The 25,570-nt window shown below is 50.0% G+C and overlaps 1 protein-coding gene across 4 annotated transcripts in view, besides 4 other annotated features; it reads left to right on the forward strand.

Moving 5' to 3' along the window:
• The window catches only part of ARK2C (arkadia (RNF111) C-terminal like ring finger ubiquitin ligase 2C), a 129,123-nt gene that overhangs the window by 69,498 nt on the left and 34,055 nt on the right, over positions 1–25,570 (forward strand). The window lies entirely within an intron of this gene.
• Positions 8,248–9,198: an enhancer, noted in NCBI's record as "H3K4me1 hESC enhancer chr18:43991726-43992676 (GRCh37/hg19 assembly coordinates)". NCBI's record gives its function as "activates a minimal SCP1, AML or CMV promoter by ChIP-STARR-seq in naive H9 embryonic stem cells {active_cell/tissue: H9 hESC(naive)}" and the evidence as "EXISTENCE:reporter gene assay evidence [ECO:0000049][PMID:30033119]".
• Positions 11,099–12,047: an enhancer, noted in NCBI's record as "H3K4me1 hESC enhancer chr18:43994577-43995525 (GRCh37/hg19 assembly coordinates)". NCBI's record gives its function as "activates a minimal SCP1, AML or CMV promoter by ChIP-STARR-seq in naive and primed H9 embryonic stem cells {active_cell/tissue: H9 hESC(naive and primed)}" and the evidence as "EXISTENCE:reporter gene assay evidence [ECO:0000049][PMID:30033119]".
• Positions 21,251–22,215: an enhancer, noted in NCBI's record as "H3K4me1 hESC enhancer chr18:44004729-44005693 (GRCh37/hg19 assembly coordinates)". NCBI's record gives its function as "activates a minimal SCP1, AML or CMV promoter by ChIP-STARR-seq in naive H9 embryonic stem cells {active_cell/tissue: H9 hESC(naive)}" and the evidence as "EXISTENCE:reporter gene assay evidence [ECO:0000049][PMID:30033119]".
• Positions 24,043–24,618: an enhancer, noted in NCBI's record as "H3K4me1 hESC enhancer chr18:44007521-44008096 (GRCh37/hg19 assembly coordinates)". NCBI's record gives its function as "activates a minimal SCP1, AML or CMV promoter by ChIP-STARR-seq in naive H9 embryonic stem cells {active_cell/tissue: H9 hESC(naive)}" and the evidence as "EXISTENCE:reporter gene assay evidence [ECO:0000049][PMID:30033119]".

The following is a 25,570-nucleotide window of genomic DNA, read 5'->3' on the forward strand; positions in this document are numbered from 1 at the left end:
TCTTGACTCTTTCATTTCAATGACTACTTATTGAATGCTTCCGTATGCAATGTGTCAGATGCCTCATGAAAATCAGATCCGGCTGGGTGCAGTGGCTCACAACTGTAATCCCAGCACTTTGGGAGGCCGAGGCGGGTGGATAATTTGAGGTCAGGAGTTCGAGACCAGTCTGGCCAACATGATGAAACTCCATCTCAACTAAAAATATAAGAATTAGCCAGGCGTGGTGGCGGTCACTTGTAATCCCAGCTGCTTGGGAGGCTGAGGCAGGAGAATTGCTTGAACCTGGAAGGTGGAGGTTGCAGTGAGCTGAGATCACACCATTGCACTCCAGCCTGGCAACAGAGTGAGACTCTGTCCAAAAAAACAAAACAAAACAAAACAAAATCAGATCCATTGCACTCTGGTATTCTTCATCTACCAACTTGGGTGACCCCATCATAGAAGCTCATTCTTTAGGGGATTCTACTGCCCTGTGTGATTAACAATTCCCTCTTTCCCCCCTTTCTCTTTTTAAGTGATCCAAACCACTTCAAAATCCATTACAGATTTGTCAAGGTGTTTTTACATTCCCATGGAAAGTTTCAGGATTTCATCTTTTTTCTTTGTGCAAAAATTTAAATATGATTTACGGTCTAAAACCCCTCAGCTATGATTCTTGATTTCTCGAAAACTGCTCAATGTTTTTAGGGTCACACCTGCGAGTTCTTTCCTGGTGCTACGTTACAGCATAGCATTGTTGGAAGATGTAGGTGGTATGAGTATGCTGGATGGCTCGCTTCCTCTCTTAAGCTAATGAATTATTCCCAAGTAATTTTGATGGATGTGGGTCAAGGATAGGAAGAAGGATGACAGGAAGACATGAGCAGGTATTAAGCACCTTTTTCGTGTGGGACATGCAATGCACTCCATCTTCATTGTATCATTTCACTCTCATTAAAACTCAGTGAAGTACTGACCAGGCGTGGTGGCTCACACCTGTAATCCCAGCACTTTGGGTGGCCGAGGCAGGTGGATTATGTGAGGTCGGGAGGTCGAGACCAGCCTGACTAACATGGTGAAACCCATCTCTACTAAAAATACCAAAATTAGCAGGGCATGGTGGCGGGAGCCTGTAATGCCAACTACTTGGGAGGCTGAGGCAGGAGAATTGCTTGAACCTGGGAGGTTGAGGTTGTAGTGAGCCGAGACCGCGCCGCCACACTCCAGCCTGGGGCACAGAGCGAGACTCCATCTCAAAACACACACACACAAACACACACACACACACATACACACACACACAACAACCCCCCCACCAAAACAAACAAACAAACAACTCAATGAAGTAGGGATTATTAGTTCCATTTTAGAGTTGGAGAAACAGAGGCATAGGAAGTTCAGAGAAGTTACGTGAGGTGCTCAAGGTCACACAGCTGGTATGTATGATACATGCAGAAGACATATTCAGCTCCGTTTGGCTCCAAAGTCTCTGTTGTTTCCACTGGACCACAGAGCTTAGCTTGGCAACTATGATATGGCAAGACCCCACCAATTTTTTTTTTGGTAAGGCTCATCATAGAACCCCTTTTATCTAGGACCTGATTCATAAAATGGCAGTTTATTATTTTCAACATGTCTATGGTGTACAGTGTGGCATACTGGTGGGGTTGCTCTCTGGGACACAGGGAGGTCAAGTGACTTGGAGAGTATCCCATAGTAAAATGTGTAGCTCAGAGGTCAGCAATTCATCAGCTCTGAGGGCTCCCCAGAAATAGTAGAGTCTCTGGGAGGTGCCCGTGGCCAGACAGGTTGTCCCTGCTGCTGCTGGGAGCCAGGGAAGCTCTGCAGGTCCACAGGGCTGGCACTCGGAAGGGGGCCTGGCTGAAATGTGCAGGCAGCATAGACCAGACAGACAGTGGGAACAGTGAGGTGCTACAGCAGTGGCCCAGGCAGGGACAGGAGGGCTGCAGACACAGCTGAGGCAATAGGATGGAGTGGTGGGTGGGAGTGGCTGTTGGCGATGTGGAAACAGCAAAAGTGGGTGAAAGGTTGGAGAGAGAGGGCGAAGGAGACAGCGCAAGAGGAAAAATGCTAAGAAGGTTCCTGGGATGCTGACCTGGGCCCCTGGGGCCATGAGGCTTCTATATAGCTTGAGGGGTAGGGTTGGGGAGGAGCAGGGCCCGGTAAATGGACTTGATTTGGATGGTTTGAGTCTGATGTGTATTTGGGCCATCCAGGATGGGTTGAATATGATGTCTATGTGAGCCATCCAGGCAAAGAATTTCTTAAGGTCTGGGGATGGTGAGAGGTTCTTAAGGTTTGGGGTTACTGCTGTGAGAGGCACTATTTTCTAGAATCACTGGCAGGGAAGCCATCCCCTGTATCAACCTTCCTGCAGGACCCACACTCCCTTCCTCCTCCCGGAGTGGGATTCTGCCTAGGCATGTGCACACATGTGTACACCCTACACACTCATCCACACATGCCACCCACTCCCCTCAGACACTCGCATACATACCCCTGTGTGTGTGTACACCCTTACACACCCATGTACACACTCCTCCCACATACACACTCACACACTGACCTTGTGTACACTCATATCCACTCCTACACTCCCCTCATAGACACACACTTACCCCAACACACATGCAGACACTCACCCCATGTGCACCCCCAATACGCCTGCATCCAGAGTCGTCACAAACTTCCACTCCCAATAGCTCTTGTTGCATTGAACCCCCCTCTCAACCTCCCCAGAGAGTGGCCACTGTCACGGGACTGGATGCCCCGGGCAGGCGTGGGAGCTGCAGCAGAGCGACAGCCAGGCAGCCCACACTTGGGATGGCCCCAGCCTCTTACTGCCATTGCCCTGTGGGTGCTGGCCGGGGCTGGCCAGCTGGAATCCAGCCTCTGAGGACTGGAAGCCCTTCTGGTCTTCTTAATCCCAGGCTTCCAGAAAACCCAAGAGCAGGATGTCCTTGGAGTGGAACACAGGTGGGAACTGGGAGAGTTTCTAGAGTGCCTCTCATCTGTCTCATGCAGCTGAGGAAACCAAGGCTCAGAGAGGTCCTGGCTTGCCCAGGGTCTCCCTGCCAGGAGATGGGAGGCTGGGGCCCCAGGCTGACTCTACCTGGCCCGGGTGCCCTCAGTGTGCCCTGGCTGACAAGTTTGACCACAGAGGGATCACATGTGGGCTCACAGTGTACAGGTTGGGCACAGGGCCAGCCACCGGTAATGCAGCCAGGTGTTGGGCTATGGGCTGCTTCTGCTCCTCATCCTGTCCCACAGGGACCTGCCTCCTTGGCGTTGGGCCTGGCAGGTGGCTGGGAGCGGATGGTGAGGGCAGATGTCAGGCAGCTCCAGGCTCTGGCCCCTCTAGCCCAGAATCCTTACCCTGATGGGACACATAAGGATAGGGTAGGGAAAGGGTGGCTGTCTTTCCTGAGATCACCCTCATCATGTCCCTGAACAGCCTAGTTTCCCTTTAAAAATGACTATTTATGGTGCTTTTATTTAAGAATTATCTAAAACCTTCTTGAACTCGACTTTTGCCTCGGCCTCTACCACCTCTTGGAGGGAAATGAGTACTATAAATTGCATCCTACCACACAAAGTTGGGTTACCTTTGATTTGCCTTGAATTCCCCTGAGTTTGAGATCTATTTGAGGCACTGGGATCAGTGGCCAGGGCTTCTGCTCCCCTTTCTGGGGCCTGTGCAGTTTTCACCCCACAGAGTGGGAGACCAGCTCCAGCTTGAGAGTCCAGCTTCAAACCTACCCAGTCTTTTGGGGTAAGATTCTTCTTCTCCTCCTAACCAGTCTCCTGACACCCCACTGAGAATTGCTGCCCATGGATAGCATGGGGATTGGCCCTTTCTTGCTTGCTCACATGTTTTCTCTTTCTTTGTGACATATTGTCGTCATCATCATTATTATTATGTGGCTTTATTTCTCTCCCCAAATATCATTTCTAATCCTATCACCCGACAGGACAGTGTTAGCCTGTTGACGTTCTTCCTTGTAGATTTTCTCCTAGGCAGAGGTCTTGTTTAGTGTTTTTTTGTTTTGTTTTGTTTTGTTTTTGAAGTTGGAGGCTAATCCCTTCTAATGCAGAGGGTATTTCCAGACCTGAGACTCCAGCCGTGGCTTGCGTGGGAAAAATGAGTCACAGTTGCTATTCATAGTTGGATTTTAAAAATTAAGAGCAGGGCAGTACATGCTGGGAGCTGGTGCTGGGCTCAATGCCTTGAGACATATCTGGAGAATACTATGTTTAGAGAACTTACATTATAGTTGGAGTGATGAGATCCACCCATGTGAAAAGTTGGGTGACACCACAGGCATTACATCATCACAAATGTCACAAAGCTGCTTGGAGAACCTGGCATACTGAGAAGCACAGAGATTGGTGGCGTCTTCAGGATTTCACAGTGGCAAAGATCCAGAGAGGTGGTCAGGGAAGCCTTCCTGGGGGAGGTGGCATAGCAGCTGAGCTTTGAAGTCTGAGTCAGTTTGGACATCATGGATGGGGTGGCAGGGATTGGGGAAAAAGCCAAGGGAGATATTTGGAAGTGGGGAAGCTCCAGGATGTCTGGAGGCCTGGAAGTAGCTCAGATAGGTCGGGGCAGTGGATTGGAGTCAGGAATGACCCCTCGGTTGAGGAGTCTGCCCTGGAGGAAGCAAGGAATTGTGGGGGCTGATAAAGAGGCTGTGATGGAGGCTACTGATTCAGGGGAAGGTCCGCAGAAGGTGTCTTAGGTCTGCTTTAAGAAACTGTGAAGGGGCTACTGAGAAGATGGGCATCTGCCAAGGAGTTAGCCTTGTCCTGTCATCTCTTGGTCCCACCTCCCTTCTACCCAGAGCCAGAGTTGGCCTTAGGCTGATGTGACTGGTGTCAGCCTGGCACACGCACCTGCGATGACAATCTGGAGGCAGCAGAATGTCCATAGAGGTTAAAGAGCACACAGAGCCTTCAAATTCCAGGTCTAACCCATTAAAACCCACCAGCAGAGGGCCATGAGGAACTTACCCGTAGTCAAACAGAGTTAAGGTTATCAGCCTGCTGCGGGGAGGAAGAGAGCACATCATGGGAACTGTGGGGCATCCTAAAGGGGGCACTGTAGGAGGGACACTTAACAGAGTTTGGGGGCTGGAGTTAATTAGAGCATCATCTTGGTCAGAATTTGAAGGGTTGCTGGAACAGTCCGAGGTCACATCCTTAGAACACACCAGCCATTAGGGAATTGCTGTCAGATCAGTTTGTCTGTGGTCTTATCTTGGAACAGATGGTTGTGAATGAGCTGGTGTCAAAAGACTTTGAGCTTAGATAGTCTGTGATGAGCCTTCATCCCAGTGGTACTGTTATCTGTTTTCTGAGTCATCACACAGGACTTTCTGCAAGTTGTGGCTTTTGTTCCAAGTCTCAGTTCCCTGTTCATTGCCTAGCTGCCCGCAGGACCATCTTCTATTTAAAGTTTGTCCTTGGGAAAGTTACTTGACCTCTCTGAGCCTTGGTCACTCAGTGGTTAAGTGGAGATAATAACGGTAGCTACACCATGGAGTTCTGAGGATTAAATGAGTTAATATATGTGGAGCACCTAACAGTGCCTGGCATACAGGGGGTGCAATAGAAATGTCAGCCATTATTACAACTGCAGGCCTTCAAGATCAGGAAAAGAATGTTGATGCCTCAAAAGAAAGGATAGTCTGCAAGTTTATTTTCCACTTCAAAGGAGAAAAAAGGGGAACAGCAATATGAGATACCTTTGCCAGGACAGACACTGTCCTGGGAGCAGCCATCATGATCTAGAACAAACAAGTCCGGTGAGATTGACGTGATCTTCTGAGAAAGAGGGAAGGAATGAGCTCAAGGGATCCTTTGAGGTTTGGCCCATCTGCAGGTAAACGGTGGTGGTGATGCACTCTTCGTTAGTTTAGCCGAGGACAGGGCAGGAGGAAATGAAGTGAAGAAATGACACTGAGAATCTGGATTTGACAGTAGAAGAGACGTCTGACTCTGAGCTGCTGAGTATTAGGATTGGGGGAAGCTAAGAGGCTGTGGGCTCCTGGCCACATCTAACCAGAGTGGAAGTTGTGGTGCAGAGGAGGGACCTCTGGTCTGGGGGTCAGGCAGTCTCAGTCCTGGTATTGAACTTGCCTCTGAGTAGCAGGGGCATGGCTTTCTGCCACTCAGTCCTCACTCTGGGTCTTAGGCTCCCCTTTTGTAAAAGGGAGGATTCAGGATAGATGGGCCCTTCAGGCGTCTTGCTTTCTTGGCTTCAAGGCATCCTGGAGATTACTGTCATTCTTTCTCATAACTGCACAATATTCCCCAATAATGCATGTTCTCCTATTGATGGACATTTCGTTGTTTCCAGTCTTTTGTACTTACCAGCCATAGAGCACATTTTGTTTGTGTATCTGCATGGAGTTATATGCATTTTGTCTTTAAGATGCCAAGTGGAATTGCAGTAGACAGGATTTGAGCATTTGTGATTTTCATGATCTTGCCAAATCACTCTCCTTAGAGGTTGCACCAAATTATAATCTTACTGCCAACTGTGGGCCCTGCTGTTTTACTTATGTGGTGAGGAGTAGTGGGTGGGAGGTCTTGGTGATCAAGCGATCAATACATCTTCCACTTCTAAGGTCACATGACCTCAGGGCCCTGCTCTGGTCAGATCCCATTTCTTAAGGCCCCAAATGCTTAGCCAAGCTTGGCTTCTTGCACCTCAGCTCTGCTGCTTCCTCTCACCTTGGCTTTTCTGCTTTCCAGCTATCCCTAATAAGAGAGAGAGAAAGCTAGAGACAGAGAATGTGTTCCAGGTGCTCAATGTCTTACTGGTGCTGTGCCTGCAACTATCATCATTCCAGCTTCTGTGTACACACACCTGGCTTCCCACAGTTAAGGTGGAGGAGGAGGCAGCCAGCCAGCTGTGTGAAGGACTGAACCCGTTAGGCTGTGAGACTGAGGGGCAAACTCACCATCCAGGGTTGCACTGACAGCCTCAGCTGAAGGCTCACCCTTAACAAGCTGAACAAGCCTTCTGACAATTGCTGTCAATTTCGTCCCAGGAAGATGCTGGCAGGACCTAGATCTTGGTTATGACCTGGAGCCATGCCCAGAAACACTCAAATCTATCACCAATAATTGTCCATGGGCCTGGCTGAAGGGGAGCCTCCCTGACAAACAAACAAGTGGAAATCTGTCACAAAGGAAGCAAACACACCCCATGACCAGGAGGGCCACTCATTCCTCTTGTTCTCATTGGTTTGGCTGCTGCATGGTAAACTCACTTTAAGCATCGTTTCTTCAATTGTCCAGGCTCATGAAAGTGGTCAGCAAGTCCTCCTTAAACTCTACACATGCCTTTGTAATGTTTACGGGAGGCCCTGCCTCACCCCCAATTATTTATTCATCAGACATCTCCTGGGCACCAGTGTGTGTCAGGTGCTGGCTGTGCATGGGTGGCAGATGCCCAAGGCTCTGTCTCCACTCTGGGGAAGTTGCTGAGATGAGCCTCCCAAAGTGAAAAGTGACAGGTGTCATAGACAAGGCAGGTAAGACACGCCTGATGGATTCAGGCACCCCTTAATGACAGCTCTTTTTGTTGGCATTCCCTTAGCACCTGATAATTTTGAGAGTTGAATGAAGGGAGAGAGCCAGGGTAGAAAGGAAACGACAGCCCCTTGGGGAAGGCAGTGTGAGGCATTGCAGGAGAGAGCTTAGCTCTTGGCATTTGCTGGTTTAATAGGGTCACTGGCAAGTAGCTTTGGGTTGGGTGAGTTTGCTGAAAGATAATTATGGTGGCATTGGCTGGAGAAAGGAAAGAGATTTCCTAGAGGCCTCTGTACTTGGCCTTTGCAGATGAGCTGACACTATGTGACTATCCTGAATAGGACGTATGCTCTGAGTCAGCTGATTAATTTTCACTCTTGCAGTTGAGCAAGGATTTGCATGGAGCCATTTGCATTTTCTCACCAAGTCCCCTTTGCTATCGATTGATTCATTTCAACATACATTTGGTAAGTTCCTACTATGTGCCAGCAGTGAGCTGGACAGCTGAGGTTCTGCCTCACGGAGTTGATATTCTATATGTGTACTAGTTTCCTGTCCCCAGCTGTGACGAGAGCCCATCCCAGGGAGGGGCACTTGGATCTTAGTTGGGGACCTTGAAAAAGTCTTCATGTTCCAAAGGGGTGAGGCCCTACTGAAGGAATCTCAGATATGGGTCAGATACTTGGGGCTGCTCACCCAATGTGAACAAAAGGGGGACTCCAGCAAGCCAGATTCAGTCAAGTAGCTGGACATGCAGGAATCACAGCCTGGGGCTGAGCCGTGTATGTGTGATCTTTACACCTCCCTGGTCCCTTTCTCCTGAACCTGTGGATGCCCAGTGAGAGGAGGAAGGGCAGGGGCACCATGGAGCCCAGCTCCCTGGAGTGGGGTCGATGATGCCAGGCTCCCTGGGCTAAAAGCCTCTTGTCAGCAGAGTAATTGGATCTGACTTGCAGCAGGCAGGGAGCAGAGGTATTCGAGTCAGTTGGTGCTATTTTTAAATGCCCTCTCTTCCCCAAGTGCAGATCTCAGCTCAGCGGGAGACAACGGCTCATCTCACAGCCCTGGGAATCAAAGCACAGCCCCCTCCCCTCAAGGTTTAAGTCCTTCCAACCCCATTCTTCAAAATCAGATCTCAAATTGGGCAACTGCCCACAAATCCTGCCATGATCATATGTCCCAGTTTGGGGAAGGATGGACTCCTGGGGCCATGGGGTCAAGGGCTGGTTTGGGCTGGTTGCCCAGTTGGCCAGAAGCAGACCCACAGCCTTGGTTTCTTGGTTGCCTGGCAGCCCCAGAGGGTTACCACTAAGCCTGCAGGCAAACATGTCCCTGCCAGTCTGCTGCTGTCTTGACCCTTGGTAGCAGCTCACAGCTGCCTGTCAGGCTCTGAAAACAGAGCAGAAAGCAGCCACCCTCCTGCCAAATGTCCTGCTAGGAGATGAGCCTCATACTGAGTGCAGCCCAGGGTAGTGGGAGGAGATCAGGGAGGCCGATGTCCAGTCATGTGCTGATGAGGCTGCCTGGTTGGTCAGTTTCTTCTCACTTGTCACACCTCCTCTCTCCTCCCTACTCCAGTAGCTGGCTGTTAAATGCTCTCCCTCCAGAGGATGTGGTCAGGCCGGAAGGGAATTGCTGGTGGTCCTGACTACCCCCACCCCTCCCAACTCTTAGAAAATGACAAGGCCGCCTCGGGCAGGTACGGAGATGCTGCTAACAGCCAACGCGGAGTGACCACGTTTCATGCTTCAGATGGCACACCTGTGGGCCAGGGGCCACCATATCTTGTTATAGATAAGGACCGAGGCCCAAAGGGGAGCCCTTTGGTCAAGGTCACTAGCAGATCCTCCCTCTCTCCCTGACTAGGACCCTCAAAATCCCCCAGAATTCCTGAGGCCTTTGGATGCAAAGAATGAGGGATGCTTGCACGTCAAACAACACAGCCCCCTCTCCGAGAAGCTGGAGGAGTTCCAGGAGTCTTCCCGCCTTAGCCGGGGGATGGGGGAGCTCAACTCTGTGGCACTCTGTTCAAGTTTGTTGCTTTGGGTGACAGATCTTGAACTCGGTTTTGAAAATTGTTTGGTTAAAACATTGCAAGCTGGGAACCCTGCCAGGTCCTCTTCTCTCTCGAGTGGAATTAGAATAAGGCAGCCTGCCCCGACCCGTTCCAAGGGTACTGATCCTCAAGTTTTATAAAGCAGCGTCGCTCAAGCCCAGCCCTATCCAGAAGTGGACCATGTGGTGACGTCCCAGGGACCCTGGGAAGATGCTCCCATCCCCAAATCTATCTGCATTAGCCTGTCCCACCGTGCCCAAACCCACAGCCTTGTAGGGCTTTCCTTGAGCTTTATAGTCAGTTCTGAGTGGGATAGGTGAGCGCTCCCTGGGTTTGGAGTCCTACAGAGCTCTGCAGGCTCTGTGGAAACCACATCTGCCTTGTCTTATTAGCCCTGCGACCTGGACTACGGGATAGCAAGTTGTTTACTTTCTTTGAGTCTCAGTTTACTTATCTCTTACCTGGGGAGAGAAGGTGAGCTGACATTTGGGAAGAGGAGTGGGAGACAGTTATTTGAGGCCCTGGGAACCCAGGGCAAAGGGGTGGGAGATGAGAAAGGGCAGGAGAGCAGCGCTTTTTCCATTCTGCTCTACTCACATTTAAAAATCATTTTACTCTTAAAAACTGCTCTGTGTGTTTTAAAAAGCACATTACATATGCACGTGGTAAGAATTCCTATGGTGCAAAAGGATGTACATACAGAGAAAAACACTCCTCCCCCTGCCCCAGCTGCCCAGGTTCTCTCCTCATGGGGAGCCTTGTTGTTATGTCTCATGGATCCTTCCAGGAATCATCTGCATGTTTACTTTTCTGCACATACACTGTAATCTAAACCACATAATTTAATTCAAAGTCATGCAGCATGCTCGGGTTCCTCTCTTAGAAATGTTTGCTATAATGTCCTTAATACCAGGCCTCATTTGTGTAGGGTGCTCTACAATTTTCAAGGCACCATCCCCCAGCAGTTCTCATCTGAATCCACGGCCTTCTGGAGGTAGAGATGGCAATATCGTTATGCTCATTTTGCAGGTCAGGAAGCTGAGGCTCAGAGAGGCCAGGCTGCTTGCCTAAGGCCACATAGTGAGTGACTGATTAAGACGGGACCTGAACACAACCTGCCTGACTCTCTGGGCAGATGTGTCTTCTTCCTTAAGGGAAACTGCTTTAATCTCCCTATGCTGTGTTGGTAAACAGCAGATGTTTATAAAAAATCATTAGCCTTCCAAACCAGGGCTCTGTGTAGGTGCTGCTTACAGGCAGACCTGACTAACCCCAGCAGGCCATGGGGCAGGTTGTGGAGACTCAGACCACAGCTGCTCTCTGTGTGTGCACACACACACGTGCAGACATACATGTACACACACACACATCACAGGTGCCACAACATGCATGTACATGCACATATCCATGAATAGACATATACCTGCACATGAACACGTTCACACAAATCCCACAGACACATGCTCGCACATGCCCATATCCATACCTACACCATGCACACACACATGCTTATACATTCATGATCATGCCACGTACCACACAATACACACATACACAGATGCACGCTCACAGACACATGCACATACACACAGCCTTGAGACTCCAGAAGGGCAAACACAGCACGTGGAATCCTGGTCCTCAGGTCCTCCTTTGCCCCAGTGCGGAGGGCAGGTTGCAGAGGCCTCTGGGAAAGGCCATATGAGTGGCCGTGTTAGATTCATTGGGAGCCATTTCACCCCTAGGAAACATTTTCATTTTGTGTCATCACAGCCTTGTGAATGGGGAGCGTGCACTTCCACCCAGGGCTGCAGGAGGATGTGTGAGGGAGTAGGGGCTGAGCTAAGCCGCAGTCCTGCTGGGCCTTTATTCTCAGCTCATGGACACTCCATCGGCTTCAGATAACATCTGGAGCCAAAGCCCAGGAAATGGGCAGGGGAGGGAGCAGAAGCCAAGTCAGCCTGTGCGCTGCTGCAGTTTCAGGGCCTGGTGGAGTCCCTGTGTCAGTCCAGAGTGTCCCCTCCCCAGGCCTACATGACCTCTGCCAGAGTTTGACTGACACTCATCGAAATGTGAATACCCACGTGAGCCCCAAGGCAGTGACCTTACCAGTAAGTTGCTGAAGGAAGGCGAGGCACAGTGGTTCACACCTGTAATCCCAACACTTTGGGAGGCCGAGGTGGGCGGATCACGAGGTCAGGAGATGGAGACCACCCTGGCTAACACGGTGAAACCCCATCTCTACTAAAAATACAAAAAATTTTTTATATTTATAGGCAGTGGTGGGCGCCTATAGTCCCAGCTACTCGGGAGGCTGAGGCAGAAGAATGGCGTGGACCTGGGAGGTAGAGCTTGCAGTGAGCCGAGATCGTGCCACTGTACTCCAGCCTGGGCGACAGAACAAGGATCTGTCTCAAAAAAAATAAAAAAAATAAAAAAATAAATAAAAATAAAAAAGTTGCTGAAGGAGCCCCCTCCCTGGTGCACTAGGCCCTTTATTGAGAACGTGTTTTGGTGGTGCTGAGAGTGAAAGACGGGCTTGGAATCAAACAGGCTCCAGATTCCCAACCTGGGCCAAGTGATGCTGAGCAAGTCTTTCTAACCCTTGAGCCTCAGTTTCTTCATCTCTAAAATGGGAATAATGGGAATAATGCCCATAATTCATTGCACTGGATGGTTGTAGGGCTGAATTTGGGAAAAGCTTTGTGACAGGTAAAGTGATATGCTGATATGACTGGGATCATCACAGAGGGACTGAAGCAGAGTTCACGAGGGACCTGGAGTGCCAGGTGGGAGGAGAGGTAAGCAGGGAGGCAGAAAACAGTGCCTGAAGCCTTGAAAATGGAAACCAATTTGGACACCCAGTGCTGCACCAGCTGGCCACTCAGGGCTGGGGTTTGTCCTCAGCCTTCCTGACTTTGCTGCTGGCATTTTCATGGCTAATTAACATGTCATGGGGGTGGAGAGGAAGAAAAACTCAAAACAATTGATTTGTCTATTTGCCAGCACATCTGGGAAAAGGCTGGGTGTGGGAGGTCAAAATCAAGGCTAAAAATCAGTGCTTTGCATTCTCAAGGAAACACACGGATCTGCAGGAAAGCTCTAGGAAGTCAAAGCTCAACTATAAACTCTTGAGACAGCAGTGGGCATGGAGGGAGGAGGCATTTAAAGCTCTTCTGGCTTTGTGAGGAGAAGGGTGACACAGAAACCTGGCTCATGATAAGGAAGCCAATGAAGAAGTCATCATCCATCCTTCCCTCCCTCCATCCGTAAGCATCCGCCAAGCACCCAGATTGCATCCAGCCCTGTCCTGAGGGTGCTCTGGGTGTTGCATGGAGACAATACAGGGACTTTTCTCTTTAAGCATTCAGATTCACATTCAGAACATTGAGAGCACAACTCAAAATTGAGTCCCCACCTCAATAAACGACAACGCCATTTGTATCAGTTAGCTTTTTCTGTATAACAATCACTCCAAAATTTGGCCTTAAAACAACAACCTTTTATGCAGCTCACAAGTCAGTGGGTTGGTAATTTGGGTTGGGCTCAGCTGGGAAGTCCTTTTGGTCTTCTTGGGCTCACTCACATTGCTGCAGTCAGCTGGGACAGATGGGTCTAGGACAGTTTATTTGTATATCACATGGTCTGTCATTCTCCAGCAGGTTAGCCTGGGCTTGTTCTTATGGTAGAGGCAGGAGACCAAGAGAGAGTGGAAACTGCAAGGTCTCTTGAGGCCTGGGCTCAGAATTGGCATGATGTCACTTCTGCTACCTTCTATTGGCCTAAGCCAGTCACGTGGCCATGCCCAGAGGCAAGGGGTGGGAAAGTAGACTCTGCCTTTAATGGGAGGAGCTTGTATGGGAGGGTAAGCATACAAGGAGGGGAGAAATTGAGGCCATTTTTGCAAACTATCAGCCACACCAATCTTCTAGTTGCTTAGCAAGCAAGATATGGAGTCTATCTTGTCCTCTGTCTCTCAGGTTTTACATCCAATCCATGAACAAATCTTGTCACCTGTACCCTTGAAATGAAATATATTTTGGATCTGACCATTCCTTTCACCTTCCCCCGATTGCCACCCTAGTCCAAGAAACCATCATCTCTTCCCTGGTTCCTGCTTCTTACCTTTGCCTTCTGCAGCCTATTCTATTCAGCAGCCAGAGAGTCAAGACCTGTCACTTCTCTGCTCAGATACCCTCCTCAGAGTCAAAGGCAACATCCTGTAATGACCAGTGAGGTCCTGCACCATCTGTCTCCCCAGCCCCCAAGATCAGTATCACCTAAACTCCTACCACTCAAGCCTCCCGAAGTTTCTCAAAATTCAGGCTTGCCCTCACCACAGGGCCTTTGCGTGTGCAGTTCTGTCTGCCCAGAAAGCACTTTGCCTGGATATCTGCCAGTTCAGTCCTCACCTTCTTCAGCTCTTTACACAATAGTTATCTTCTCAGTGAAGGTTCTCTTGGCAGTCATATTTAAAATGGAACCCCCCCAACCTTTTCTTCTTCCTGCTTCATTTTTTCCATAGCTCTGTCATCATCAATACATGACATATTTTCTTATATATCTACTTATTGGATAGGCCAGTGCTGTCCAATAGAAGTATAACATAAGGCCGGGAGCGGTGGCTCACGCCTGTAAATCCCAGCACTTTGAGAGGCCGAGGCAGGTGGATCACCTGAGGTCAGGAGTTTGAGACCAGCCTGGCCAACATGGTGAAACCCCGTCTCTACTAAAAATACAAAAATTAGCTGGGCTTGGTGGCAGGCGCCTGTAATCCCAGCTACTCGGGAGGCTGAGGTGGGAGAATCGCTTGAACCTGGGAGGTGGAGGTTGCAGTGAGCCAAGATCACACCACTGCACTCCAGCCTGAGCAACAGAGCAAGACTCTTAAAAAAAAAAAGTATAATGTAAGACACATATATAATTTATTTTTTTCTAGCAGCCACATTAAAAAAGTGAAAACAGGCTAAGTGTGGTTGCTTATGCCTATAATCTTAGCACTTGAAGGCAGGAGGGTCACCTGAGGCCAGCAGGTTGAGACCAGCCTGGGCAACATAGTGAGACCCCTATCTCTACAAAAAATAAAAAATAAAAAAATTAGCTTTGTGTGGTCGCACATGCCCATAGTCCCAGCTACTTAGGAGGCTGAGATGGGAGGATCGCTTGAGCCCAGGAGACAGAAGCTGCAGTGAACCATGATTATGCCATTGCACTCCAGCCTGAGTGACAGGGCAAGACACTGTCTCCAAAAAAAAGGTGAAAATGGGAAATCAATTGTAATAATATACATTATTTAATTAACTACATCCAAAATATTATCAGTATTTAATTAATTTTAAAAGTTACTAATTTTTTACATTATTTTGTTTGCACTAAGTCTCTGATGTCTTGTGTCTGTTTTACATATGACAGCACATGTGAATTTGAACTAGCCATATTTCACATTTGGTAACCATACAGGACAGGACAGAACTAGATTGCAGTTCCACAATGGCAAGGATTTTTAACTGCTTCATCACGGCTGCTTCCCTAGCACCTAGAACAATGTCTCACATGTAGAAGGCATGCAATAAATATTTGATGATTGAATAAGTCAAATTCTGAATCAAATACAATTATGTGGAAAGATAGTTACAGACCCAGAAAAGAGCTATCAACTGGCTATATCCATGCTCTGGGCTGTGAGGGCAGGACTGTGAAGGGGAGAAAGTTAGTTTTTCTGTCTCAGTCTTGCCAAGTCATTCAGCACCTCCGTGGTTTTCCATTCTCTCTGGACAGACAGAAAATCTTGCAAGTTCATCCACACTAGGAAACAATAGCGAGTTAATGTGTTGCCCTCTTTTGGGCATTTGCACATTGAAAGTAAAAGTGAGAGAGAGAGCAATGCTTAATCCAAAGCAATGATTCCCTCCTGGAGAATTTTTGGCTCTAGTGGGAACGCTATTACTGGACCATGAGTCTTTCTGATGTCCCCGAGTTCACCCCAGAAGTAGGCTGTCAGCCAGGGTGCTTCTGTTGACAGGCTGCCCTTGGGTGGCCTGTTGCTGGGTGCCCTTGCTACTCTCCCCTGCCTGGTATTTTACTACAGACGGCACTGGAGCTTGATGGGAAGAGGGGGACTTGGGAGGTGCAGGTGCTCTCAGAGTTTGGGAATATGTCCAGTTCAAGGAAATCATTGAGCCATCCTCCGTAGCCAGCCCTAGGCCAGACCTCAGGGAGGGTGAAAAGCCTCTATACTTTGTAAGACACTTTCAATGGGGGAGGAGGTGGGGGAACTTCATAGCATTCCCCCTGCTAGGTGGGCAAGCAAGACACAACATGCTTGTTTTGCAGATTGGAAAGCTGAAGTCCAGAGACAGGAAGTGGGTACCCAAGTCACTCCCCTGAGAGCCTGCCGGGACTCTCCTCTAGGGGAGCAGGCACAATCTCGGCCTGAGGGGCCTTTTGGGTCTAGCTGGAGTGACCGGGTCAAAGGGCTGCTGGCTTGAAATAACTGCATGATATTAAGCAATGAGCGGAGTGGGCAGCGCACAGCTGGACCAGGCCTACCTGGGGAAGGCCAACAGGGGTGGGAGGCAGGGCAGTCACAAGGCAGGGGCAGCCAAGGGGCTGATGGAGCCCCTCGAGGTAACTGGAGACGGACAGGCCTCTGCTGCTTGTTAGGCATATGGGATCTGGCAGCTCCAAGAAGCCTATAGCTCTGCCTTTCCCAGGCATCTCCTCCCTCCCCCCTTCCTCTTTGCATCCTTTTGTTATCTCTCTTCCCCTGCTCTCCTCTAACCTTCTTTCTTTCCTGTCTTCCTTTCTCATGTATTTCCACTGACGTCCACCGTCTCTTTTTCTCTCATGCACACCTCCCCTCCCCAATACCCCAGAGTGCTAGACAGGGCTGCCCCATGAGCAGTGATGGTTGGGAATCTAATTTTACTGACCCTGGCTCCCTCTGAAAGCAAGCAGATATCCACTCACTGATGTGATCTGATTTCAGGGGCGTGTGGAGGTCAACTCCCATGGCGCCTCCACTCACCGGCTGCTGTCTGAAATCCCACCATTAGAACTTCATAGCACCAGCTCCTTAAAACGTAACCACTCCTGAGAAAAGCCATGGTCCAAGCTCTTCTTCTAAACTCTTCCCCATCATCACACATCAGAATGGATGGCTTCGGGAGCCAGGCTTGGGGCAGAACAGAGGAGGGCACAGGAGAAAGGGGCATCAGACGAAACAATTCTCCCAGGAGAAATGGGAGGCAGAGGAATAAAGCTACTCTCTGTCCTGTCCACCGTATTCACAGGGCCGGGCTTGTGTAAGCATACTGTGTGTTCTGCACACCTCAATAGGAAGGGGCCCCATCGAAGTGGCTTTCTGAACTGGGTCCCCTCCTTTTGGCACCAGACAATGCTAACGTGGTCCAGGTAGCCACCCTAGCATGTCTTGAAAGTTATTGGGGTTTGGGCCAGATGCGGTGGCTCACGCCTGTAATCTCAGCACTTTGGGAGGCTGAGGAGGGTGGATCACCTGAGTTCAGGAGTTCGAGACCAGCCTGGCCAACATGGTGAAACCCCATCTCTACTAAAAATACAAAAATTAGCCAGGTGTGGTGGTGTGTGCCTGTAATCCCAGTTACTCAGGAGGCTGAGGCAGGAGAATTGCTTGAACCCAGGAGGTGGAGGTTGCAGTGAGCCTAGATCGCATCATTGTACTCTAGCCTGGGCAACAAGAGCAGGACTCCATCTTAAAAAAAAAAAGAAAGAAAGTTATTGGGGTTTGGAGATTTGCTTTTCTGCTTTTAATTTACTTGAGTCTTTGTTAAAAATATAATAGTAGGAGAATATCTGAACTCATGACCTAAGACGAACTCTACATGGTTTGCAAAAGCCACCCAATGCCATCCACAGTGCAGACCCCTCCTTCCCTGGCCAGGAATGGCAGGATGAGGACTTCTGTTTTGGGTCTGAAATTGCTTCTTCTTCTGTTAGTTGATTGTGATGCACACTGACCACCTCCGTCCTGGGTCTCCTCAGTTCATGCTGGACCTGCAACTGGGCCCCTATACTCATTGCAAAGAATTCCCAGTCTTTCTGTCTGTAATTCTTCAAAGCTAGTCTTTCTACCTTGCACTTTATCTGCTTTAGTTTTGTTTCTCCCTCTGACACCATCAAATTCCATGCAGTTTTAAAATGCTGAGAGGCAGCTGCTTGCACATGACCAAGGTTTTTGGCAAGATGATGCTTCCTCCATGCTCACCTGTTCGTGATCATTCATTCATTCATTCATTCATTCATTCAGTGAGTTCTTACTGTGTATTAGGATCTGTGCCAGGCAGTAGGGGTAAAGGTGAATGAGACAGACCTAGGCTCTGCCTTCATGGAGTGTACAGTCTTCTGACCACATATGCCTTCCACAAAATGCCTTGTTAGGATTGTGGCAGGAATGTGTCCATACACTTTGTTGGTTTAGATGGGGAAAGTATCTTCTTGGATGGATCATGCCCAGAATATTGTCCCATTATGCACAGAGGTTTTCTTCTGTAATTGTATCCTGTCTCTAACCAAATCTTCTAGGCTTCTTTCCCTTACTCCTGGTCCATGATGGCAACTGGAGCTAAATACTGGCCCTTTGCTGCTTGTTGGAAGCTTGCTGCTTAATTGTCTCATACCCATGGGCAAGTAGGGTTCCTTAGGATGCAAAGTCCCCTCCCATCAGTGTTTTGAGAGCAGGAATTCAGTTCCTTGGAAGAAGCTGAGCTTTTCATTAGAGATCAAAGCCTGGCCCTGGGGAAGCATCACAAAGCTGCTCTTGGCTGTAAAGGATCCCTTTGGGCATATCACTTTCTTTCTAGGCCCTTGGCATACTCCATTGGACTGGGAACCAATAGATAGAGAGGGAGGAAAGCAGACCCATGGCAGCCCTGGGGGCTAAGCCAAGCAATAGGCCTCTTGGGGTTGATGAGACTGGAGCAAAAGAGGTTAAACTGATACACCTGGAGTACATAAGGAACCCGGAAAGAATGGCCTTTGAAGCTGGGTTCTGGGCAGATGGCCCACTTTCGTTTTCTTCATCTCTGATTTATCTGGTGTGTAGTCAAGTAGTTAGCTTATGTAGTGTACCCCAGACTCTCAGTTCTGCCGTTCAAGGTTCCCCACAATTTCCCCACACCCTCATTTTTCCTGTATCACTTTCCCAAGCACCCTGCCTCTGAATGACTCACAAAGGGTGCATTACCTAGTTGCATGAAATCCGAATTTCTCCCAGGCTAGAAAAGTCAGTGTGGGCCATTGAGAGACTCAGAAGATACAGGAAACAAGATTCTGAGCTGTATCCATGCAGAGGGGAGAGGAGGCTCCCTGGGGGCCATGTTGAGTAGAACGTGAAGTCTGTCTTTGGACATGGGCCTCCTCTGGACTACATCTCCCTCCACCTGGGCGCAGCCCCACCGGCTTGCTCCCTGAGGACCCAAGACTTGCTCTCTCCTTACTGCCATGCTTCTTCCCCCCGACCGAGGTCCAGCTCTCTGTGCCTTCACAGATGGTGACTGTCCAGTTTGGCAACTTTAACTATGATCAGGCCAAAAGGAGGGTAGATGTTGCAGGGAATTTGCATCATCTCCTGGTGGGCCAAAAAGGGCCCTGGAAGTACTCCAGGTCACACCCCCGCCCTTTGCTGGTGTTCACACTCCTCTTCTGAGCAGTTAGTGGGCCTCTGCATGGACATCTGCAGTGATAAGGAACTTTGGGAGACAAAATAAATTCTGAGAAATGTCTTCCTTATGTTGACTCAAATCCGCCTACTGGAAAGACCTTTAGCCTTTGACTGCAGCTATTACCTGACCCAGAGTTTCCTCTTCCCTGCTCATGCCCAGATTCTCCAACTGTTCCTAGTGTCAGATTACTCAAGTCCCTTCACAACCCTGCTGTCCATCATCAGAGTCCAGTTTATCAATGTCCATTTTAATATGAGTTTCCCAAAATCAGTTCCAGTACCCAGGAGTTTCCTTCAACCTTTCCATCAGTTAAACCCTGTGAAATGCAAGCCCTAAAGCCTTTCCTTTGGGGGATGTCCAAAGGCCCTGGGATTTGTCTTGCTACAGAAGCACCCAAGGGCCTGGAAACATTTGGCCTGCTCTACAGAGGCAGGGCTTGTCCTTGGCATTTCCTTAGTCTAGGGAGGAGGCCTGGGGCTATTGGCCAAGGCAAACTGCACTGTGCCTGAGCAGTTGTGCTCACCTCAGCCATTCCTCAGCATCTCCCAAAGAAGAGATTCAAGCCTATTCCCCATGGAGGCCAGGAGCTAGTGCTTTGTTTCTTGGTTACTGTCATAGGCAGGAACAGGCTTACTCCTAGGGGAACTCAGGAGAGAGAGAGGGATGGGGAGAAGAGGTGGTACCACCAGGACCATGGCATGTTATTTCCATTCGGCAAGCCACCAGGCAGGTGGGTTCCTCTCTGGGCATACCACGTGGAGACGTGTATGGTTGTATGAGGACCCATGTGCTGGAAGGCCGTGACACTGATGTGGCAGAGCAGGGGGATCACACTGCAGCACTGGGACTCAGGAGGCCTGGATGCCAGCCCCAACTTGGCCATGACTACTCTAGAGCCCTCAGACATGCCACCCCAGATTTCCTGGCCTCCAGATCTTCATCTGTAGAATGAAGGCTGTGTGATCTCTGCACTTCATTTAGCTAGGATATTGGAGGATTCCATGAAGAACTATGCTTCTTTACTAGCTAATAACTTCATCCTTACCTGTTCTAAAATAAAGAACTCTTTCTTCCTCCTTTCCCTCGTTCCTCCTTCTTCACTGTCCTCTCTCCATGTCCTTCCCTCTTTCTTTTCCTCTTTTATCCAGTATCTCATTATCCTCCTGTCTCAGAATATCTCTAAGAATATTCCCTTCTAAGAACAAAGGGCATTTACTGCATGGTACCTCCTCCGAAAACACTCACTTCGCAACTTTATTGGAGATAAAATTCATACACAAACAAAATGCCAAGTATAATGGCCTAAATGCCACAAATCAGATGGAGAGGAGAATTTCATCCACCTGGGAAGGTCTTGGAGGGCTCCCAAGGGAGTTAACATCTGCCCAGGGTAGTCAGGGTTGGACAGGATGCAATGGTCTGGCAAAGCAGGGTGGCAGTGCCAGAGGGCAGAGAATGGCTGTCGAGGGCCCAGAGGCAGGCAAGGCCCCTGGGGGTCTGGGAGAGATGAGGAAGGTCAGATACAGCAGTGAGAGAGAGCAAGGCTGGGAGGGGGATTTGGGCAGGGAATGGAATGCTTAGAACTGTGCTTTAGGAAAGTTAACGTGGCAGCCATTTATTTGGAAGAGGGATTTCGAAGGTCAGCGCTGGTCCTTGTTTCTCCCTGGTTCCAGCCCACTTCAAATGCTGGGTGTCACATCACAGCTCTGATGTGCCCATCTCAGGTCTGCTCTGTCCAGCTCTAGGACCCTGGCGGCGGTACAACACTGAACACAAACATCTTCCTGGCGCTTTCTACTTTCTACTTAGCCTCCCCGTGAATAAGATGAGAGGCCTGGTCAGAAGCTATTTGAGGCCCCTGCCAGCAAAGAGATTTCAGCAGGTGTGTGGGATCAGCAGCATCACTGCAGGTCACAAGTCCAGGAAACTAGGGCCTGGAGAAGTCCATGGGGCTGTCCAGGTCTGACTGTGAGGGGAAGTGCCCTGGCCTTTGGGACAGAGACCTTACACCGGGTGACTCTGCCTGGCTTTGAAGACTTCTTGGTAGTGATGCCTTCCTCACTGGCCTCTGTGGGCAGAGACCTGCTTTTCAAAAGGCTGGCTTTCTTTGCTGCTTGTGTGGGCTTTTCAAAAAGGAGCCAGCGCTGAACCCCGGCTCTTGAGGCTGAGCCTCTCCAGCCCTGTGGCCGGCTGTCCTGTCTTCTTTCTCCCTGCCCCTCCCTGGTGCCTTTGGAGAGGGAGTCTCGGGCCTTCCCCTCCTTTCTGACCATCAGGGCCCTGCCTCCAGTGTCCCCTCCCTGTTCTGCCCCAACACTGGGGAAGAGTGAGGCTGGCTCAGTAGCTGAGCACAGCGGGAAACCTGACACCTGAGAGCTGGCCTGAGGAGGCGGGAACTCGGGCTTCCGGGGAACCCCAGAGAAGCCTGGGAGGGTTTGGATCCCATCCTACTCTCCCAGGATCCCACATCCCTGGAGCAGGCAGAGCTGGCTCTGGTCAGCTGGCAGGCCTGCAACAGGGACCCTGGGCAGACCTGTGCTTGAATTGCCCACCAGCAGAAGGCCATCATCCCTGGGGTAGCCCCGGGTGGGTGGCAGGCCAGGTAGAGATGTCAGGTGCCCTGTGGGGCCTTTCAGGCTGCCTGTTCTTCCCCTCTTTCAGCCCCCTTTTCCTTGGAGGACTGGAAGGCAGTGCCTCTCAGCCCTGGAGTCTTGAGGATGAAACTCCACTTTCCTCCAGAGCAAGTCCTGGGGCTGGAGCATCAGGACCTCCAGCTCGGGAGTCAGTCTTCCCTGAAGAAGCCTTGCTGCCTTCCACGGTCCCTGGCATCTGACTTCTTGGCCTGGCTCTTTGCTCCTGCCCAGGCTCAGCCCTCATTCCACTCCCCTCATCTGCTGGCCAGAGGAGCCTCCTGACTGCACCCAGTGTGTCCTCTTGGTGTCCTGGCCCTATTTCTGCACTGTCCTCCTCCCTGGGAGGCCCCCCGTCTTAGTCTGTTTTGGATGCTCTAACAGAAGGCCATAGGCTGGGAGCTTATGAACAACAGAAATGCACTAATCACAGTTCTGGAGGCTGGGCAGTCCAAGATCAAGGTGTTGGGAGATTTGGTGTCTGGTAAGGGTCCGCCTCCTCATAGATGGTTCCTTCCCTCTGTGTTCTCACTGGTGGAAGCAGCAAGCCGGCTCTTTGGGGCCTCTTTTATAAGGGCAATAATCCTATTCATTGGGTTTTATCCCCACTATCTAATCACCTCCCAAAGGCCCTGCCTCCTAAATCCATCACCTTGGCGGTTAGGATTTGAACATATGACTTTGGGGTGACACCAACATTCAGACCACAGCACTCTCTCACTGCTACCATATTTCATCAAGCTTCCTGACTCCCTGGGCTCTGTTCCCTTCTGCCCGTCCACATTTGGCTTTCAGGAAACACCTTGCTTCAAATTTCTACTTTGTTACTTATCAGATGAGTGTCCCAGGCAAGGCAGTGAGCCTTTTAGAGACTCGGGGACCTTGTCACTGTTATCCCCACCCACCTTCCCCACTGATCTCTGCTTCTCCCTTTCCTTTCCCTCCCCTATGGGTTCTTCTGTCCTCCTATCCACCCACTATCCAGCAGCCAGCAGTCCCCAGGCATTTGTGGGTCACCTATAGTGTGTACCATGTGTGCCAGGTGGGCGTCAGGCGAGCCCAGCACCTGTGGGTTCCCCCTGTCCCAGCTGTGCAGGGCTATCCTCAGCCCTGGACCCACCTCACTCAGGCCCCCACCCCCTGCTTTATGGTACAGCTCCTGGCCAATTCTCAGGTGTGCTCACTGTCCTTATCAACTCCAGAATTCTAAGATGCACATTTTTCTTCTGAAATGAATGTGTGTCTTACCATTGATGTGTTTATTTAATGTGGTGTTTGTTTGTTTCTGGGAGACCCTTCTTTCTCCCTACTCCCTAAAAATATTATTTAGCTCATAATGGGTCTTTCAACTGATGTCATTTTAGCCTGGGGAAATATGACAAATGCATAATGTAATCAGTGACATCTGGAGATTATTTTTTAACTTGAAGGAGTAACTCTAACAGGGAAAATTGCAGGTTGTCTATTAATGGGGTATTTGGGATGTCTGTTTTTCAGACATCACTGATCGTTGATTTGTCATGGACCCAGATATACTATCCTGGGAGTTTCACTCCTTGGATCTTAGGGACCAAACAGAGCAGCTGCTGCCTGGTACTGTTACAGACCCTACATGATTTAGGGCTGAGGAGAGGCCCCAGGGGGCAAGGTGGATGTTTCCACTTCCAGTTCCCTTCTCAGCAGGGTGCTGAGACCAAGAACCACTCTGGGGATGGAGATGGTGGAGGGAAGAAGCACAGCCTCCCAGAAGGGAAGTCAAAGGACCTTGCAGGTAGAAATTGCCTAGAATGTTACAGACAGCCAGGTACCTGTGCCCACCTTCCTCTGGCTGCCACCCCGGAGAGAAGGCATCTGCTTTCACTTCCCAGTGCGTCTGCTGGAGGGCACAGGTTGTAGGATGGTAGAAACCTCCCCAGGCTGGGGCGGTTGGTGCTCCTCCTAATGAGGCTCCAGAGAAACCTGAAGGCCCCTTGGACAGAGTGGGTACTCTCATGGCAGGAGGGGCTGCTGCGAGGCAGGCAGCTGCACGTTCATGGCAGTGGGGGAGGCTCCACCAGGGCCCACCCGGGAGGGTACTGGCCAGCTCTGCCTGACCTGGCCCTCCCATGCCACAGCATCAAAACCCAGAGCCTACTTGGCCCCACTTGCCATTCTCTTTCCCGTTCCGTTTCAAACCAGTCTGCCTTCAACCAGCCTCAAACCCGCAGCCCCTTCGAGCCACGGAGCTTCCCTCACTCCCCACAACAATCTGTCAGACAAGCAGGTATTTACTGGGTGCCAGCACCAAGCCAGGTGCGTGGGGATCCAGATACAGCAAAGACACGAAGCCCAGCCTGGTGGGGGCGGCCAGTGTGAAGAGACAGCTCAAGGTAGCCACTGCCAGGTGCCAAAGGAGTGGGAGAGAAGGGAGTTCTCAGAGCTCAGAGGAGGAAGGCAACCCTGGGGCTGGTGGGCAGGGTGGTATTTCTGGAGGAGCTGAGAGGAGACACGGACCTTTCGAGATGGGAAAAGCAGCCAGGGAGATGGGAGCACAAACTCTCCAGTGGGAACATGAGAGAAGTGGACCTCCTAATGAGTCTCCAGAGAAAGCTGAAGGCTCCTTGGTAGACCAGTGTGGACGGCTGCGGGAGGGCTTGGAGGGGGTCTGTGGGAAACAAGGAGAATGTAGCTTTAACACCAGGCCAAGGGGAGGCCGGGCGCAGTGGCTCACGTCTGTAATCCCAGCACGTTGGGAGGCCGAGGCTGGCGGACCACGAGGTCAGGAGATCAAGACCATTCTGGCCAACATGGTGAAACCCCGTCTCTACTAAAAATACAAAAATTAGCTGGGTGTGGTGGCAGGCGCCTGTAGTCCCAGCTACTCGGGAGGCTGAGGCAGGAGAATGGCTTGAACCTGGGAGGTGGAGATTGCAGTGAGCTGAGATCGTGCCACTGCACTTCAGCCTGGTGACAGAGCGAGACTCCATCTCAAAACAAAAAGAAAAACAAAAACAAAAACAAACAAACAAAACCAGGCCAAGGGGTTTGGATTTCACCAGTAAGCAGTGGTCACTGCTCCACTCTATCAGTTAGGAAACTTGGCTGAAATGCTTTGCTCTGTGTACGGAGTTGGCTTTTTTCCTATAGAGTTGCACTGTCCAAAATGGAAGTCACTCACCTCCAGTGGCTCCTGGGCACTTGGAATGAGGCTAGGGCGAATTGACATGTGTGGCAAGTACAAAATAGCCACCAGATTTTGAGGACATAGTAAGAAAAGGAAAGAGTTTTAAAAAGCTCAATAATTTTTTACATAGAATACATATTGAAATAACATTTTGGATATGATGAATTACAGAAACATATATTATTAAAATTAATTTCAACTGTTTCTTTTTACTTTTAAAAGGTGACTACTAGGAAATGTAAAATTCCCTGTGTGGCCCACATTATAATTCTGTTGGACAGTGCTGGGTGAGAGTCTTGACAATACCCGTTTTCACCCCATTCTTTTCCTTTATAGACATGCTTATCTTCTACTTCTCTTCTTTATCCCTCTACTGTGCTTCCCTTTTCTTGCCCTCCTTCCCTCTGTCACACTGGCAGTCTCCTTCCCTTTGTCCTGTGTGATGGTAGACCATGGAGTGAAGGGAAGGGGGTCCGGTGCCGCT

The sequence above is a fragment of the Homo sapiens genome, chromosome 18, assembly GCF_000001405.40.
Source record: "Homo sapiens chromosome 18, GRCh38.p14 Primary Assembly".
NCBI lineage: Eukaryota > Metazoa > Chordata > Mammalia > Primates > Hominidae > Homo > Homo sapiens.